We start from the raw sequence: 19077 nt of genomic DNA, 5'->3' as shown, positions 1-19077 counted from the left end.
GCAGGTAATTATTATATACATCTTTGTCTTGACTATAAAACAGATGTTCAATAAAGGTTTGTTGAAATAGGGCTTAATCTAACAAAAAGTTTCAAACACAATGGCAGAATACACAGATCAATCTAAAGACAAAAGAATGGCTTAAATTTTTGTTCTTCTTTTGTATTCTTTCCCAAACTATTACTTCGTAAACAGGTAGCTAAAGCGAATTATAAATGCTAAGTAGAATGATCCACATTAATTTATTAAGCAGGGTTAACACCTATTTAATACAAATGAAATGCCAACACAGTGTCTGGCACACAATAAGTGCTATTAGTTCACCCTTCTCAGCTTTATGAATTGATCAAGCAGCTACATACATACAAGCACTCCAGTATTCCTATCAAAAATAACTTCCTTGTGCTTTTTCCTGTGCCAAAAATTCTACGAAAGATACATTAATTTGGATCATAAAAACCATCCAGGCTTAGAAGGTTGAAAGTAGAAGAAGCAGGGGCAAGGCAACACCTTTTAAGTCCCTGCCAGCTAATTCATTATGATAATTACTAACAGCTCCTTTCTTATTAATGATGGTTAATGAATAGCTTAAGAAAAAATAAATAGCAAGACAGAAATAAAGATTATAAAAAGAAGGGAATGGAAAAAGAGTATAAACTCCATGAGTTTTTACTTCAAAACCAACATGCTCTTTGGTTTAAACTATTCACCTTGAGAGAAACATTTGTAAGAAACTCAAATTTCACTTTATATGCAATACACACACACATTTGAGTATTGAAAAACTAAAAAATAAATTATTTCAGTAAACCAAAATTAGTAATCTGGTACAGTTATAATAAAGCACTAAGTTACTCAGAAAAGAACTATACTTCTCAAAAAGCAAAAGGAGTCAGGAGAGAGAAAAAGTTCAGAGTAGATATAGATTTTGGCCATCACTAATTACAGGGAGACAAGACTTTATTTGCCTCCAGATGGGACATAATGTAAAGTGTGTGGCACCAACTGTGAAGCTTTCTTGCCAAAAATGTTAAGCTGACCCTGATCAAACTATTACATCTAACTTCCAGCTTACAGGAAACACAGAAGATAGCAAGTTAAACAACACCACGATAGAACAATCAAATCTAGAATGTGTGACATTCTACCAAAAAAATGAATTATTTTACAAACATGAATGCAAAACAGTTTTTGTACTCCAAAAAAAGTGCAACATATAAGTAACTATAATCCAAAGTGGAAGTAAATGTATCCTTAGGTTATAGGGAGCTTTGAAAGCAAAATGGTAGATAATTTTAACTTTACCATACTTTAGATATAATGAAGGAAACACATTAAGAGCTAAAAAAATTTGACAGTAAAAATGGTGTATCAATAAACTCAAACAATAATTAACTTAGCAAATCAGTACATTAATAAGCAAGACTGTAAACAAGCAATAAAATAAGAAATTCTGATCTGATAAATGCAGAAATTATATATTCCTATATTTAAATCATTGTTTGGAAGAGCAAAATTACACAGACGCATGATGTCATTAAATCTTATTTATCATTAATTCTAGTCTCAACTTCATAAAATGACAAAATACTATATTAAATATATCTTACCTTTGTCCTGGATTGAACCTGTTCTTTACAGATGAGGCATTTCTTGACACGTGGAGAACATAAAGAACAGGTAGCAATATGTCCACATGGACCAAAAAGAGTATCTCTCTTCATATCTGAGCACACCATACACTCTTCTAAGGTTTCAGAATCATTACTAATCATAGAAGGACTCCGAGAACCCACTTGACCACTAATAAAAGAAAGTATTTCAAATCAAGCCTATCTTATTACAAATTCACTAATTAAAATGTTTTAAAATATACCTGGAGCATCATTAGTATACATAAAAACTAGTCATATTAAAAAATTAAGCTTTAACATCTGTATGTGAAACATTAAATTTTTGTGTTTATATGCGTCTCTGCATCTTTAGATACTTCTAACACAATTCAAACTTCAAACTGAACACTCACTCACCCAATGGAAAAGGGTGAATCTTCTAACAATGAAATAAAAAACAGCAATTAAAAAAAAAACTTAGCATAAACAAAATTTTGCTCAGAACCTGTTGTATCTATATAGAACCAGCAGAGGAAGGCATAGGAATAAAACAAAAATCCTCACTAGCCCCCATGTTAGTTGCCTTACTAAAGACGGAACAAAGCATCATCAGAGTCCACAACAGATAGGGCACTTTGGAAAATTTAACACTTCAGCTGCTGTTTTGACATTTTTAAGTGTATCCTTAAGGAACATAAAATTATATTACAGAAAGATAGACTGCATCCGTAAACACAGATACAAGGAACAGAAATACATATGACCACCTACAGCTACAGAAAAGGGATGCCCTGTTTCTACCACAATCTTCAGAAACTCACGAACACGTACACAACACGTACACAGAGGGTCCACCTTAGACTCCATTGTTTAAAAGTTATTACTGCAATAATTATAGTGCCTTATATCTTTATATTTATAGATTTTTTTTTTTGGAGACAGAATTTTGCTCTTGTTGCCCAGGCTGGAGTACAGTGGTGTGATCTCGGCTCACTGCTGCAACCTCCGCCTCCCGGTTCAAGCAATTCTCCTGCCTCAGCCTCCCAAGTAGCTGGGATTATAGGCATGCGCCCAGCTAGTTTTTGTATTTTTAGTAGAGACAGGGTCTCACCATGTTAGTCAGGCTGGTCTTGAACTCCTGACCTCAATCCACCTGCCTCGGCCTCCCAAAGTGCTCAGATTACAGGTGTGAGCCACCACGCCCGGCCGATGCATTCTCTTTTTGTAATAGAATTTCATGTTCCTTAACAATACACTTAAAGAAATGTATATACCTCACTATATTAATTTCCTCTATAACACAGTTCTATGCACAGATTCCAAAGAGATGACATTTCATCACTACACATAAATTATGAGAGAGGCAAGGAACACTAAGGTTAAGGAACAGCTACTGAAATTTCAGTGACAAGAACCAGGTACAAAGGGCAACAACAGTTGCACAGCACTGTTCAGATTTAAAAAAGCAATGAGATGTGTACCTTTTTGTACATCTATAAAATCTCATAAGGAAATTAGTTATGTCATAAATAATAATTAAAATCACTGACATATCTTTCAGAAAAAGAGACAAATGTGAAATGATCATCTTTAGAGAAAACTCCACCAGGACTTGGTGCATTCATTTGTTCATTCTCCACTGATACTGAGTGCACCTGTCAGGCACTGAGCAGGGTGCTACAGTTTGTGTGAGATATACCCTGTTCATGGAGTATAAGTTGCCTGTCTTAGGAAGATTCTATTTAAATTTTAAATATAGAGCCAGGCACAGTGGCACATGCATACAGTCCCAGCTACTGAGGATGAAGCAAGAGGATTGCTTGAGCCCAGGAGTTTAAGCCCAACCTGGGCAACACAGCAAGACGTATTTTTAAAAAATAATAATAATACAATAAAAAATAAATACAATTTAAAATACATGTAACATTAACAACAGCAATTTTACTAGAAGACTTTTTCTCATAAATCCCTCTAACACATGGGAGTACTAGAAGATCAGACTAGTTTAGAAAAGTTTCTCAGAACTTATTAAGTATAGAGCATTGCACTCAATAATGTGGGGAATATGGCATAAAATAAGAGACATGCTGCCTGCAGAAAAATTTTCAAGGAAGAAAAATTTCAGGAAAGAAAGGGTCAACACAAATATACAGGAAGAGCAAAGATGAAGACATTTTCAAGTAGCCACGTCCTCCATTACGAAACCACATGATATTTTCTGTACAGAATATTAAGTTTTATGATAATAAATAATACAAACCTGACTTTTTCCTTATGACACTTTGCCAGTGCTTTGCAGAGATTCGGATCAGGACAGAGATCAAGTGGCGATTGACCCTTCTTATTTCGAATGCTCAGGTCAGCACCATTGGCTGCCAAGAAACAGGCAATAGATGCTGCACTCTTCTTCTCTGCCCCCTGGGTACCAAGTCCCATTATTAACTGCAATAAAATAAAGAGTCATGATTTTCCCTCTAGGAATCTGCCATCAATTCTTGTCATCATATATATGTATGTGTGTGTGGTGGACACTTATGAGTTCTAGTCCTAATGTTCCCTCCCCACCACTCTACCCCTGGTTTTCTCAAGCATACACACAAGTATGCTTTCTCCAGTTGTAGAGGTGGACCTACATTCTCCAGCTGCAGAGGTGGACCAAACATGGCCCAAACCAGTCAGATACCTCTACCTTACCTATATGGCTAGAACCGGGATGGACACATAACACAAATCAAGTCAATTAAGCCCAACAGAACTCAAAAGTGGAACTTCTGATTGAGATACTAAAGAAACAGTACTCTCTTTCCTAATTAATTTGGCTCTGGAGCAGCTAGCAACCAACTTGAAACAATGACAGGAGAGACAACTGAGAAAAGAACCAATGACTAGGAATTGAGCCAAGATACGGAGAATGAGACAAATTAGGTTCTGATAATATTATCTGAGATTCTTCTCATCATCTTATGTGAAAATAGTCACAATAACTGTTAACATTTATTGAGTGTCTAAAATGGATCAAGTATTATTTTACACACTTTCCATGATCTTTACAACAACCTTATCGAGGTAAGTGCTCTCCTCTTCCCATTTTAAAATGAGAAAAAAAGAGGCACACCGAGCTAAGAGAACTTACCCATGGTCATAAATAAGGCAGAGGTCTCAAACACTTTGGTCTCAGAACCTTTTTACCCTCTAAAAAATGATTTTAAAATTCTTATGGAAATGTGAAGGACTTAGAATAGTCAAATAACTTCGAAAAAACAAGAAAACTGGAGGACTGACACTACCTGACTTCAACACGTATTATGTAGACAGTAATTAAGACTGGGGGCTGGTATCAAATAGCTAAAAACATAGACCAACAGAACAGAATACATGATCCAGAAAGAGACCTTCACATAAACAATTAACTGATTTTGGATAAAAGTATACTGGCAATTCAGTAGAAAAAGAAAGTCTTTTCAGCCGAGTGTGGTGGCTCATGCCTGTAATCCCAGGACTTTGGGAGGCTGAAGCAGACGGATCATGAGGTCAGGAGTTCGGGACCAGTCTGGCCAACATAGTGAAACCTTGTCTCTACTAAAAATACAAAAAATTAGCCAGGTGTGGTGGTGTGCACCTGCAATGCCAGCTACTTGGGAGGCTGAGGCAGGAGAATCGCGTGACCCCAGGAGGCAGAGGTTGCAGTGTGCCAAGATCACACCATTGCACTCCAGCCCAGGCAACAGTGCAAGACTCTGTCTCAAAAAAAAGAAAAAAGAAAAGAAACAAAGTCTTTTCAACTAATGGCACTGGAACAACTGGATATCCACAAGTAAATAAACCTGGATCCATATGTCACACAATATATACAAATTAACTCAAAAAGAATCATAGACCTAAACATAACAGCTAAAACTTTATAAACTTCTAGTACAAAACATAAAAGAAAACCTTAGCGATCTTGGGTTTGGCAAAGATATCTCAGACAGAACACACACAAAAAACACAAATGATGAAAGAAAAACTTGATAAATTAGACTTCCTCAAAATTAAAAAATTTGACTCTTCCAAATCACTATTAGAAGAATGAAAAGGGCTGGGTGTGGTGGCTCATGCCTGTAATCCCAGCACTTTGGGAGGCTGAGGCAGGCAGATCACGAGGTCAGGAGATCAAGACCACCCTGGCTAAGGTGAAACCCCGTCTCCACTAAAAACAATACAAAAAATTAGCTGGGCGTGGTGGCATGCACCTGTAGTCCCAGCTACTTGGGAGGCTGAGGCAGGAGAATTACTTGAACCCAGGAGGCGGAGGTTGCAGTGAGCCAAGATTGTGCCACTGCACTCCAGCCTGGGCGACAGAGCGAGACTCCATCTCAAAAAAAAAAAAGAATGAAAAGACAAATCTCCTACCAACTGGGAGAAAATATGTGCATTCACATATAAAGAACTTGTATTCCGATTACATAAAGAACTCTCAAAACTCAGTAGTAAGAAAACAAACAGCCTAACAAAATAATGAACAAAAGATTTGAGCAGACACTTCATAAAATACATATGGTGACAGACAAATGAAAAGATGCTCAATATCAATAGTCATTAGGAAAATGCAAATTAAACCACAATAAGATACCACTACGTATCTATTTGAATGGCTGATGTTAAAAAAGAACTGAATGGCTGGGCGCAGTGGCTCAGGCCTGTAATCCCAGCACTGTGGGAGACCGAGGCGGGTGGATCACCTGAGGTCAGGAGTTCGAGACCAGCCTGACCAACATGGTGAAACTCCGTCTCTACTAAAAATACAAAAATTAGCTAGGTGTGGTGCAGGCGCCTATAATCCCAGCTACTTGGGAGGTTGAGGCAAGAGAATGGCTTAAACCCAGGTGGTTGCAGTGAGCCAAGCACTCCAGCCTGGGTGACAGAGTGGGACTCCACATAACAACAACAACAACAACAGAACTGAACAACTTTTGGTAAAAATGTGGAGCAATAAGTTAGTACTGACTAGTACTAAGTTCATAAACTAAGTTTCTAAGTACATAGCTCTGATAAAATATTTTATCCAATACAGGTTAGATTACCAGTAAATATAAGATCTTGCATGAAAAGATTCTTCCACTGGTACTGAATGAAAGATGATCTTTACTCACCGTGTTTTTGGATGGCTCCCAGGCAGCATCCACCTTCCCCACATCTTGCATATCTTGGAGCTGACGTAGCTGAGACAAAGTGTGATGCCTTAGAGCTTCATGCAAAGGAGTATCCCCATCCTTATCCTGAATATCAAGCTTGGCACCTGCACGGACCAAAAGCTAAAAGAGAAAGATGTCTCATTTTGGCAAAGTGTCCACATCCATAAGAAACTTCAACATATCTAAAGTAATGGTGAGAACACCCTGGACCTACTGAAGAAGTTACCACTAAAGCTAATCATTTTTATGCTTTTGCCTTCTACTCTTCTCCAACCCTGTGGCTCCTTACAAAGAGTCACGTGTTCTGGTTATTTAAATATATTGAATTAGAGAAAATAAAAATATATGAGAATCAATATGTTGCTTAATTCATCTACTCTAAGATGATGATAACGGAGGGATATTTAGGACTTTATTTCTCTTTTCAACTTTAGATGTATGACTTGAGATATTTTAAGCACTTCCACCAGGACCAAATCATAATGTTCAAAATTCTTCTATTATGTAAACAAACAAGGAACTGTTATTATTGATTCCATTCTCTTTTGGTCAATTTTCTCCAAATGTATGGTCATGAAGAAAGCCATGGAGGATATCAAGAGGAATTTCAAATAACAATAAATACGAACAGTGTTTGCTAAACTACAACCCCCTAAATAAAAATGCACAGTTGACATATTTCAATAGATTACTTAAGCAGTAAATATAAGTTTATTAAAACTTTGCTTATGGTGCTTTAACAATTTTCCTAATCCCTTCTACGATACTTACTGAAGAGCTTTAGAAAAGTACCATCTATATATAGAAGCCAATCTCAAGCATATGGTCTCATCTGTCTTGGCAGATCACATTGTATTTAGATATTTAGATTTACTTATATCTAACTATGCCAGCTTGAGACATGTAACACTGTATCATTTCAATTTTCAGGAAGTTCTAAAAATCTGTATGGTTAAAATGTAATTATAAGCTAAAATGTATGTCAATACTTTACCCTAACAATCTGGGTATGCTGTCGTTCAACAGCAAGGTGTAGGGCAGTTTGTTGGTTCACATTCTGGATATCCAGGTTTGCATTACCCTGAACGAGAAGAACAAATGTTAAATGGTTAAAATTTGACAACAGTAAAGAACATGAAAACTATAACTACTCATAAGGAATAAATAACACCGAACACTGCTGGCTACTTTCTCCTTCAGCTGCTGCAATGTTATTCTCATATGGTAACAGTTGCTGTTAAAGTAGAAAAAAATGGATGGGGCAACAAACTTTCTGAAGTAAAACAGCAAGTTTTAAAAATCATTTTTATTATGGTAATTCCACCCAAGAACAGTTAAAAAGGACAAAGCACAGTAGAGTTCAAAGACAGATCTCTTTCAATCTCCACTATAAAGCAATGGAGATAATCAACTCCTTAGAACTCTAAATATTTCCTGAAAAGTTATAATAATGAGTCTTCATACTGGATTTAGATTTACTTTAATGACCTAATAAGTTCACTTCCCCTTGCTGCATATTTGAGCTCTTCCTCACTCTGTGAAAAGAAAGTTTGCTTTAGGTGAGAAGGTAATGCTTAATTCGTACATAAAATTATGCATTAAAGTAAGCAGAAAATCCTACCCAAGAACCTAGGGCAGCTGAAGAACCGTATGAGAACAGCTGAACCCTAATGAAGAAAGAGACTGAGGAGCAAAATAAGTGCACTTGGGAGTCAGGGGACCTAGGTCAAAACTCCATCATCTACTTCCTCAGCTCCAAAATGGTGACAGTTAAAACCTATTTCACAGGGCTAATGTGAAGATTAAGTAAAATAACATATGAAAATGCCTAGCAAATGTCTAGCATAATTTAAAAATTTTTTAAAATGAGATCAAGAAAAGAGCTAAAGATTCAAAAGATAAACCGATCATTTCGTTTAGGTCTTAGAACCATGCATGCCCTCTGGTTACAACTCTTGATACTGGCGGGGTATGCAGAGCTGAAACTTTGGTAATGTTATGTCATATTCTTCAAGATGGGAATTTCTCATTTGTTTTTATTATGTTTCTTTGAAGTGTGGTCAGAAGGTACCTGATCTCAGCTTCTTTTCTTCTTTTTTTTTTTTTTTTTTTTTTTTTTTGAGATAGGGTCTCACTCTGTCACCCAGGCTGGAGTGCAGTGGCACATAGCTCACTGCAGCCTCAAACTCCTGGGCTTAAGGAATACTCCTGCCTTAGCCTTCCGAGTGTCAGCTTAATTCTTTATCATGTCTATTTCTCACATAAATGTGCACAATGGGGATTTTTCTTTAAGTTTCCTGAGCTTTTCCATCATTGACATTTCACTAAGTAGTATTCATTGCATAGGTGCACCACAATTTGCACAATTTGTTTATCCCAGCACTACCTGAACATTTGGCTTCGCTTCCAGTATGGGGCTAATAATAGCTGCTACAAACATTTAGTACAAGTATTTGCTTGGAAAGGTGTCCTATGTTCTCTTGGGTACATACCTAGAAGTGGGATAGCTGAGTCACATGATAAATATATGTCAAACTTTGTAAGAAACCACCAATTTGTTTTTCAAAGTGCCTGCTTTAAAAAAAAAACACCAGCAATGTATACAAATTCTAATTGTTCCACATCCTAACCAATACTTGGTTTTATTGGTCTTTTAATTTTAGTCATTCTAAGTGGGCAATTGTAGTAACTGGTTGTGGTTATAATTTCTATTTTGTTAATCACTAATAATGCTTTCACTTGCCTATTTGCTAACTGTATATCTCCTTTAGTAAAGTGGATGTTTAAATCTTTTGACCATTTTTATAGAGTTATTTGTCCTTTTATTTATTCATTTATTTTGGAGATGGTGTCTCACTCCCTCTTCACCCAGGCTGGCATGCAGTGGCATGATGCTGGCTCACTGCAACCTCTACTTGCTGGGTTCAAGCAATTCTCCTGCTTCAGCTTCCTGAGTAGCTGGGGACTACAGGTGCGTGCCACCACGCCTGGCTAATTTTTGCATTTTTAGTAGAGAAGGGGTTTCACGATGTTGGCCAGGCTGGTATCAAACTCCTGACCTCAAGTGATCTACCCGTCTCAGCCTCCCAAAGTGCTTGGATTACAGGCATGAGCCACCGCACCCAGCCAGTCCTTTTATTATTAAATTTTCAGAGTTCTGGATTCCAGTCCTTTGTCAAATATGTTCTCCCTACTGTGGCTTTCCTATTTGTTTTCTTAATGGTATCTTTTGATGAGCAGAAGTTTAGTTTTTGATGAAGTGTTATTTATTAATTTTTCTTTTAAGATTATGGCTTTCTGTCTCCTAAAAACCTTTGTGCACCTCATTGTCAGATAATATACTAATACTAATTTTTTGTGTTTGTTTTTTGTTTTATTTTTAAGACAAGGTCTTGCTCTGTTGCCCAGGCTGGAGTGCAGTGGCGCCATCATGGCTCTCTGAAGCCTCAACCTCCCAGGCTCAAGTGATCCTCCCATCTCAGCCTCCCAAGTACCTGGGACACAGGCACATGCCACCACACCCAGCTAATTAAAAAAAAAAAAAAATATATATATATATATATATATATATATATATATATATACAGTAGAGATGAGATCTCACAATGTTGCCCAGGCTGGTCTCGAACTCCTAGATTTGAGCTATTCTCCTGCCTCAGCCTCCTAAAGTGCTGGGATTACAGGCATGAGTCAACAGGCCTGGCTGGCTTTATGGTTTAAGCTTTTACATTCAGGTCTATAACTCATTTAATTTTTGCGTAAGTTGTGAAGTAAAGTTAAGGTTTTTTTGTTTGGGTTTTTTTGTTTTTGGTATACGGATATCTACTTGGTTTAGCCCTATTTGTGGGAAACAATCCTTTCCCATATTACTTTGGCACTTCTATAAAAAAAGTAATTGACTATATGTGTGGTTCTTTTTTTTCTTAATTTGAGTTGCTGTTTATACATATGTGTGGTTCTACTTCTGCATTTTTTATTCTTTTAGTTTGTATGATTGCTATATAGAAAATACTAAGTAATCTGTAGAGAAGATACCAGAATAAGTTTAAGCAAGGTCACAGGATATATGGAAAATATACAAAAATTGTATTTATATATACTAGCAATATGCAAATGGAAATTGAAATGTAAAAACAATTCTATTGAGTGACTCATTGATTGACTGGGTCTCGCTCTGTTGCCCAGGCCAGAATGCAGTGGTGTAATCATAGCTCACTGTAACTCAAACTGCTGGGCTCAAGCAATCCTCCTGCTTCAGCCTCCTGAGTAGCTGGCATTACAGGGGTGTGCTACCACATCCAGCTAAAATACAATTTATAATAACATCCGCAAAAAGCTGCTGAAGAACAAATCTAATATGTGCAAGAGCAATCAAACTCCCAACAGACTTTTTAATAGAAACTAATAAGCTGATTCTAAAATTTATATGGACAAGGCATGGTGGCACTTTGGGAGGCTGAGGCAAAAGGATCACTTGAGCCCAGGAGTTTGAAACCAGCTTCGGCAACATAGTGAGACCTTGTCTTACAGAAAAAATAAATAAATAAAAGCCAGGCATGGTGGCACATGCCTACAGTCCCAGCTACTTGGGAGGCAGGAGGACTGCTTGAGCCTGGGAGGTCAAGGCTGCAGTGAGCCATGATTGTGCCACTGTACTCCAGCCTGGGTGACAGAGTGAGACCCAGTCTCAAAAGCAAACAAAAAATTATATGCAAATGCAAAAGATCTAGAACATTAGAGTAATCCTGAGAAAGACAAAGAAAGAGGATTTAATCTACCTGATTTCAAGACTTTCTATAAGGCAACAATAACCAAGGCAACATGATAGTGGCATAAGTTCACTTAGATTTTTGAATAAAAAGGAATTATCATAATTAACAGAGAGCAGTAATTTTAATAGCAAAGATTTAAAGTAGTGGGGGGGAGGTGGCTTAACTTTTGATATATTTCTTTAAATTTCTGTAGTTTTTGGAATGTATACCTTATAATTTGGTATTTGATTACATATATTATTTGCTAAATTTTTCTGCTGTTTCATCTTCTTAACTAGACTATAAATTCCTTGAAGTCAGGAATCACAGATAATTCTTTGATAACTTCAGTGCATCTATATGGTTTATGCTTGCACATGAAAAATTTGCTGAAATTACTAAAATATCCTAAAACTACAAAATAGGCTCCTCCCAAAATCCAGGCTCATAAAAACGTAGTGTCATCCTATTCTGAGATGAATGAAATGACCAAGGTGAGTCTGTACTGCTATCGAGCCATAAATTCCAGGGGTCAGCAGTAGTTACGAAATAAATCCCCTGATCTTAGCTGCAAACTGCAGTCTGATGACAACTGGCCATACTGTTTAAGTATCAACACAGATGGTTCTTGGTGCTCTGGTTGATGATACTTCCGTAACAGTGGCAGCCATTCTGGGAAATCTCTGTTAGTTGATGCCCATTTCACAGGACCAATCCAGGAAGACTGTGCAGAGGAAATCCTGGGAATTGAGGGACTCACTCTCAAACACACATCACCATCCTGCATTTAAGAAGTATTAGGCAGAAGACAGAATATGCATTATATCTGAATTTTCATCATCATGAGGTTTTACTGGAACCTACTAATAGGCAATTTATAAAGCAATAAATAAATGAATGGCAATGGTCCCAAATTGTTTAAAAAAAAATAAAAAAGAGGGAATTATTTAACTCTTTTCTTACCTGATGTACCAACAGTTCAGCCACTTCTACGTGATTATTAAGGGCAGCCAGATGTAAGGCAGTATAACCATCATCTTTCTTCTCATCCACAATCCATGGTCTTGGTAATTTAGATAGTAAAACACGCATTGCACTGAAAGTTAAATTCACATTATTTCTATATTTGCATAATTTGATATACTCAAAAGAAAAGTTTGCAATCAAATGAAGATACTCCTCTTTAAAGAAAAAAATGCTCTTAGAGACAAATAGAAATTCTACTTTTCTAATCTCAAATGTGCAGCTTTAATTTAATTTTTTTTTTAAGAGATGAGGTCTTGCTATGTTGCCCAGGCTGGCCTTGACAGAGACTACAGGTACATGCCACCATGCCCAGCTAGCTTTTTGATATTTTGAGAGGTAGACACACTATTACTATCTGGGAAATAGAATCAAAACAGAATGGAAGTGCTACAAGGAGGAAACCTAAGAGGAAAAAACCAAAGAGAAAAGAAATATACCCTAATGAGGGCACCACTTTGGCTTTGGGGAACCTCTCAGGTTCAGTATCAACAGTATTTATTAATGAAAGAGTTAATGAAGAACAGCCAGATAATAATTTTTAGAAGTAGGAAAAACTGTGATAATTAATACACTATATATGCTGAACCATCTTAGCTGACGATTATTGTGTAGCTGGTTATCATGAATTGCAAAGTTAAAACTTGACATATGTCATTTAGAAGTGGTAAACCAAGTCTGGAGCAAAACACACAAAATGGCCATTATAATTTAATATTTAAAATTTAAAAATCAGTAATAAAGTATTTTCAAAGCAAAAAAGAGAAAGTTATACAAAAGAGAATTAAAGATTTAAACTCCAACCACCGAAGAGCAGAACTAAGTTCAAGAAGTCTGAGAATGGGTTGTGGAGGATTGAAGAACCTCTAAAATTACACTTAAATCATTTGGAAACTTTTATTAGACTTTTGTTTGTCTGTTTGTTTTCCTGAGACGGAGTCTCGCTCTGTCGACCAGGCTGGAGTGCAGTGGCACGATCTCAGCTCACTGCAAGCTCTGCCTCCTGGGTTCATGTCATTCTCCTGCCTCAGCCTCCCGAGTAGCTGGGACTATAGGCGCCTGCCACCATGCCCGGCTAATTTTTTGTATTTTCAGTAGAGATGGGGTTTCACCGTGTTAGCCAGGATGGTCTAGATCTCCTGACCTTGTGATCCACCCGCCTCGGCCTCCTAAAGTGCTGGGATTACAGGCGTGAGCCACTGCGCCCGGCCTTTTATTAGACTTTTTAAACAGGTTTATGAACCCAAAGTATACTGAGAATCACAGCTTACAGAGCCCCTTCCATGGCTGTAACTGAGTAACAATCACTGTTTGGGGATAACAGGCTTCTTTGGAAAGCTATAGGCTCTCCTCCAGAGAAATGCATGTCAAAATCTTTACCTATTAATACAATTTTGGGTGAGTCTACAAACTCCTAAATCCCATTCATGGGCTTCATAGAAGACTAAGGTTTTCTGCTTTTGTTTTCAGTCACTAGTAAGGATTTTAGTCCTCCTCATTCCATAAATTAAAATAAAATACTAGATATTGTATAGACTTTGAGATTCTCAATGGGAAAAAGTATTGGTACGACATTATACTACTGATGTTTGGATAGTCATGATGTTAATGCCATACATTATCTCTTACCCTACACATTTGAGCATGTGAGAAACAAAATTTACAGGGGTAAACAGTTCTGGAAAATTTAAAAGATACAAGTATTAAATCATGTGAAAAGTGGAAAAACGTTTTATTAAAAACAAAATGTAAAAATAATAATGTAAATACTTGTCATTAATTTAAACAAAAATTGTGATATAATCATGTTGAAAGGAATGGTAGTAACAGAGGGTATTAGTTTTAAATCTTCATTTTCCATAACATGAAATCACTAGATGCCTATAATTGATAAATTAAGAAATTACAGGATAAGTTCCAAGTTGTTGGTCGGGACAAAAAAGGGGTAAGGAGGGATGACGCAGAAGACATTTCTCTTTCATTATAAGTTTTGTAGTAACATTTGACTTAACTATGTACATATATTAGCTTGATTAAAAACTTTTTGTTTTTAGGAGAATGGCGTGAACGCAGGAGGTGGAGCTTGCAGTGAGTGGAGATCGAGCCACTGCACTCCAGCCCAGGCGACTGAGCGAGACTCCATCTCAAAAAAAAAAAAAAAAAACCTTTTGTTTTTTTCTGAGACAAAGTTTCTCTCTGTTGCCCAGGCTAGCGTGCAGTTAGTGGCACGATCAGAGTTCACTGCAGTTTCAACCTCCCAGGCTCAAATGATCCTCCTGCCTTAGCCTCCCGAGTAGCTGGGAGTATGGGTACATGCCACCAAGCCCAGCTAATTTTTTTGTATTTTTTGTAGAGGCGGGGTTTCACCATGTAACAGCCCAGGCTGGTCTTGAACTCCTGAGCTTAAGCCATCCACCTGCCTTAGCCTCCCAAAGTGCTGGGATTACAAGCATGACCCACCATGCCCAATCTAAAAACGTTTTTGAAACTCTTCAATATAATAGTATTATGACAACTCTAAGATTATAGATGTATACTCAAACATAGTACAAATACCTCTTTGCCCCCTCCTCTTTCCCAATACTCCTCGTGTGTGTTTGTGTGTGTGTGTGTGTGTGTGTGTGTGTGTGTGTGTGGATATATATATATATATTTTTTTTTTTTTCTTGAGATGGAGTCTTGCTGTGTTGCCCAGGCTGGAGTGCAGTAGCTCAATCTCGGCTCACTGCAACCTCCACCTCCCAGGTTCAAGCAATTCTCTGCCTCAGCCTCCCGAGTAGCTGGGATTACAGGTGCCCACCACCAGGCCCGGCTAATTTTTTATGTGTATTTTTAGTAGAGACAGGGTTTCACCATCTTGGCCAGGCCGGTCTTGAACTCCTGACCTCGTGATCCACCCACCTGGGCCTCCCAAAGTGCTGGGATTACAGGCGTGAGCCACCGCACCCGGGCTCCTCCTATATTCTTGATCTTGATTACCCTTCTTACCATTTAATCAGCCATTCTACTCAGAAACCAGGGAATCATTCTAGACTCTTTCCTCTCTTCTTATGTCCACATTCAATTTGTCCTGCCGTTTCTCCTTTTTAAAACTCAACTGTTCTTCCCAATGGCCCCCAGTCTCCTTTCCACTCTATTCTCTATACCACCCCACACAAATCTGACCATTTCACAATTTTCACATATTCTTTTTAAATAAATCTTTTAAAAATAAGACTAGTCTTGATAAAAAAAAAATTCTAAAATATACTTCCCTGCCTTTAATACACTTTTAAAAGAACATGAGACTAAACATAATATTTTCTTGAAATCAATTATAGCAAAATCAACTTGATTTACTAAGCTGTGGAGAAACACTGCAGATAGCCCCAAATCAAAACTAATGCAAGGGTCAACTAGCCAGGAGTGGTGAACTTTTTGGTTTTGTTTTTAAATATCTATTTTAAAGCAATGTTAGATTTATAGAACATTGCAAAGCTAGTACAGAGTTCCCATATACTCCTCCATCCTTGTTACTAACATTTTACATAGTATGGTACATTTGTTTCAATAAACCAATGTTGAAGCGCTGTTATTAACCAAAGTCCACACCTGAGATTTCCTTAGTTTTATTCAATGTTCTTTCTCTGTTCCAGAATACCCCTTTACATTTAGTTGTCTTTTCTCCTTAGCTCCCTTTGGTTGTGACAGTTTCCCAGACTTTCCTTGTTTTTGATGAGTCTGACAGTTTTGAAGAGTACTAATGGGATATTGTGTAGACTATTCCTCAGTTGGAATTTGTCTGATGCTTTTCTCATGATTACGCTGTGCTATTGGTTCTTAGTAAGAAGGCCACAGAGATAAAGTGTCATTTAATCACATCACACCAAGGGTACATACTATCAACATGCCATATGACTCTAGAAGTTAACCTTGATCATCTGGCTGAAGTAGTGTTCTTCATGTTTCTCCAATGTAAACATTTCCGTATCTCTAAACTATGCTCTTAGGAAGGAAGTGACTATGTACAGCCCACACTTAAGGAGCGGGAAGTTATAGTTCACCTCCTTGAGGGTGCTACATAAATTATTTGAACAGAGACCTACAGCCCTCTCATCTTAATCAAAAATTGCCAACCCCCTCAAAAAAAAATAATAATACAGGGCCTCAAGAAAAGAGGTCATCTTTGGGCCCAGCCTGCAAGGTAAGCTAAGGGAAAGTTAAGCAAAACAGTTTCTGGTCCCATCACTCTCACGTCAACAGCAGTAGTTCAGAGCAGCCTGTCTCCTTTCTTTCCATGAGGCAGGCAATCTTAGGAAGACACACTATAACCACAAGGACAGCAGCAGGCTGTTCCCTGCAGCACTTTAGTTAATTAAGAGGAGACTGTTAAGCTGCAAGCACTGAGGTCCGTAGAGTTACTGGGAAAAAGGTGTTACCAGCTCGAGAATTCAGTAATTTTGTTAAGCCAATAGACTGTCTCACCTGTGGAGCATAGTATATGAGATTTAGAGATATTTTCCCTAATGCTCAATTTGGTTGTTTTCCAAGAGGTTAAGGACATGGATGTTTTAAAGATAAGATCTTACTACCAGTTAAGCAGGCATTTGTGAATAGTGCCAAAGAAGCATTAAGTTCCAGAACAACTAATAGCAGTGCCTACCATAATCCCTGGCACATGATAGTATTCAAACGTTTGCTGAATGATGAACAAATGAGTTATAAAGAAGCAGAGGGGACAAGCAGCTGTCTACACTGGTATGCAGTATTCAAGTGGCACTGGGTCAATTTTTAGGGCCTGCCATGCTTTGCAATCTTTCTTCAGAGGCAGGCAACATTTTCCCAAACCCTACTAGCTAAACTGTGGAGGCCTTACATGTTAGTACTACTTAAGGCAAAACAACATTAGAATAGCACTGTAGCACATATTAGGTGTTCAATAAATGCTTGGTAAATTAATAAACAATCCCTCAAATCGGTAATGTAGATTAGTCAAGAATTCAAAAAGGAATTTATTAAGAAAACTGATCAACTGCCAGTAGTTCTTTTGGGCATGCTAAAAGCAGGTTACTATAAAACTGAACACATTTTGATCAAAAAGGTATACTTTGTATACCTAGTATAGGGAACTCAAAGTTTTGTTGAATGGAAGAAATGAATAAACAAATAATCAAATAATCATCTTTCTGAATATACTGAGGCAAAGATATTGGCAATATATATTTGATGCATGGTTTTGTTCCCAAGAGGAATAATTTCCTAACTCATTTCATTATCACAAATCTGAGGAGCAATGTGGCATAGTGGTGAAGAGCTCCCAGTCTGAAACCAAATTATCTGAGTTCAAATTCTGGCTCTAGCCACAATGGCTAGTGACTTCAGCAGATTACTTAACTTCTGTGCCTCAGTTTCCTCATCTGTAAAATGTGAGAAGAATCACAAATCCTACTTTATAGGGTTGTTATGAAAATTAAATGAGTTAATATTTATAAAGGGCTTAGAAAGAGAACCTGGCACATAACACATTATGTAAGTGTTTGCTTAAAAAATAAGTACTTTCACTGCTACAAAATCATTAACAAAATGGGGTACTTGAGAAAACTGAAAATTAACCTACTTTATACTCTGAGACATGTCATCTTCTCATAATATGAGTAAAATTATTTCAATATCTAGGAAAGCTGTTTAAAATTGCCCAATATCTAAAGAAGTATTCCTTATGCCACTGTTTTAAAACAGACATTCAAAATAATTAAACTGCTATGATATTAAATGCTAAAGACAACAAGAATGTGAAGGACAAACTTCCGTAGGTGAGTAAGCTCAGAAAACTCGTAATAGTTTTTCTTGTTTCTTAAGAGGACATATTTGGATTAAAAAACAAGGTATAGCTGGTTTCTCTTCTGCATTTTTATGTGAGATCTTAAACTATATCTCCACAGGTTTACTGGACTTCATGTTTTAATATTTTTTCTCTTTGATTAAAAAAATTTCAGTATCAAAATCTATTGTGAATATGCTATTAAAATTTAAAACAAAAGTATTTTTACCTCTGAGTCACATACTATGTAATAGAGTTATAGACAGGTTAATGACTATTTCAATCTGTGTAAAGTGTGCAATGATCATGCCTAAAAGTCACTTCAGAAAATTAGAGAAACATGACAATGTAGAAGGGACAGCAAAAACACTACACATTTGAATATAAAGTAGAATTCATAATAAAATGCATCTGAATACTTGTATAATTACTCAAAAGCATACTGGACCCTGTTTTTTACCAAAGCATTATAAAAAAAATTAACTGAAATTGACAGTGAATTGTTTTAAGTAGCACTTCTAAGATTTCATTTACATACTACTTTCTTCTCCCTTGATGATGTCTCTCCACCACCAATATACAGGTCTTACCTACCATTTCTATACATTTTCCATTCAATAAACTTTAAAAGCATGTATATGGCAACAACTAGCTCTAAAGATAACCCTACAAAATCCTTTCAGGCCTTTAGATATGTAACATATCACCATCCATAA

The 19077-nt window shown here is 37.0% G+C and overlaps 1 protein-coding gene across 3 annotated transcripts in view; it reads right to left on the bottom strand.

The window, feature by feature from the left end:
* MIB1 (MIB E3 ubiquitin protein ligase 1) overlaps positions 1–19077 on the bottom strand; it is a 166038-nt gene that overhangs the window by 19955 nt on the left and 127006 nt on the right. For all 3 annotated transcript variants that reach the window (XM_047437676.1, NM_020774.4, XM_011526098.2), the window contains 5 exons: positions 12502–12634; positions 7782–7868; positions 6746–6907; positions 3874–4055; positions 1611–1803 (listed from right to left, as the gene is read on the bottom strand). In XM_047437676.1, the coding sequence (XP_047293632.1) occupies positions 1611–1803; positions 3874–4055; positions 6746–6907; positions 7782–7868; positions 12502–12634 (757 nt within the window). The remainder of the gene's footprint in view (positions 1–1610; positions 1804–3873; positions 4056–6745; positions 6908–7781; positions 7869–12501; positions 12635–19077) is intronic.

This window comes from Homo sapiens, chromosome 18 (assembly GCF_000001405.40).
Source record: "Homo sapiens chromosome 18, GRCh38.p14 Primary Assembly".
Taxonomy (NCBI): domain Eukaryota; kingdom Metazoa; phylum Chordata; class Mammalia; order Primates; family Hominidae; genus Homo; species Homo sapiens.
The sequence above is the reverse complement of the archived record's forward strand: the minus strand, read 5'-3'. Positions and strand labels throughout refer to the sequence as shown.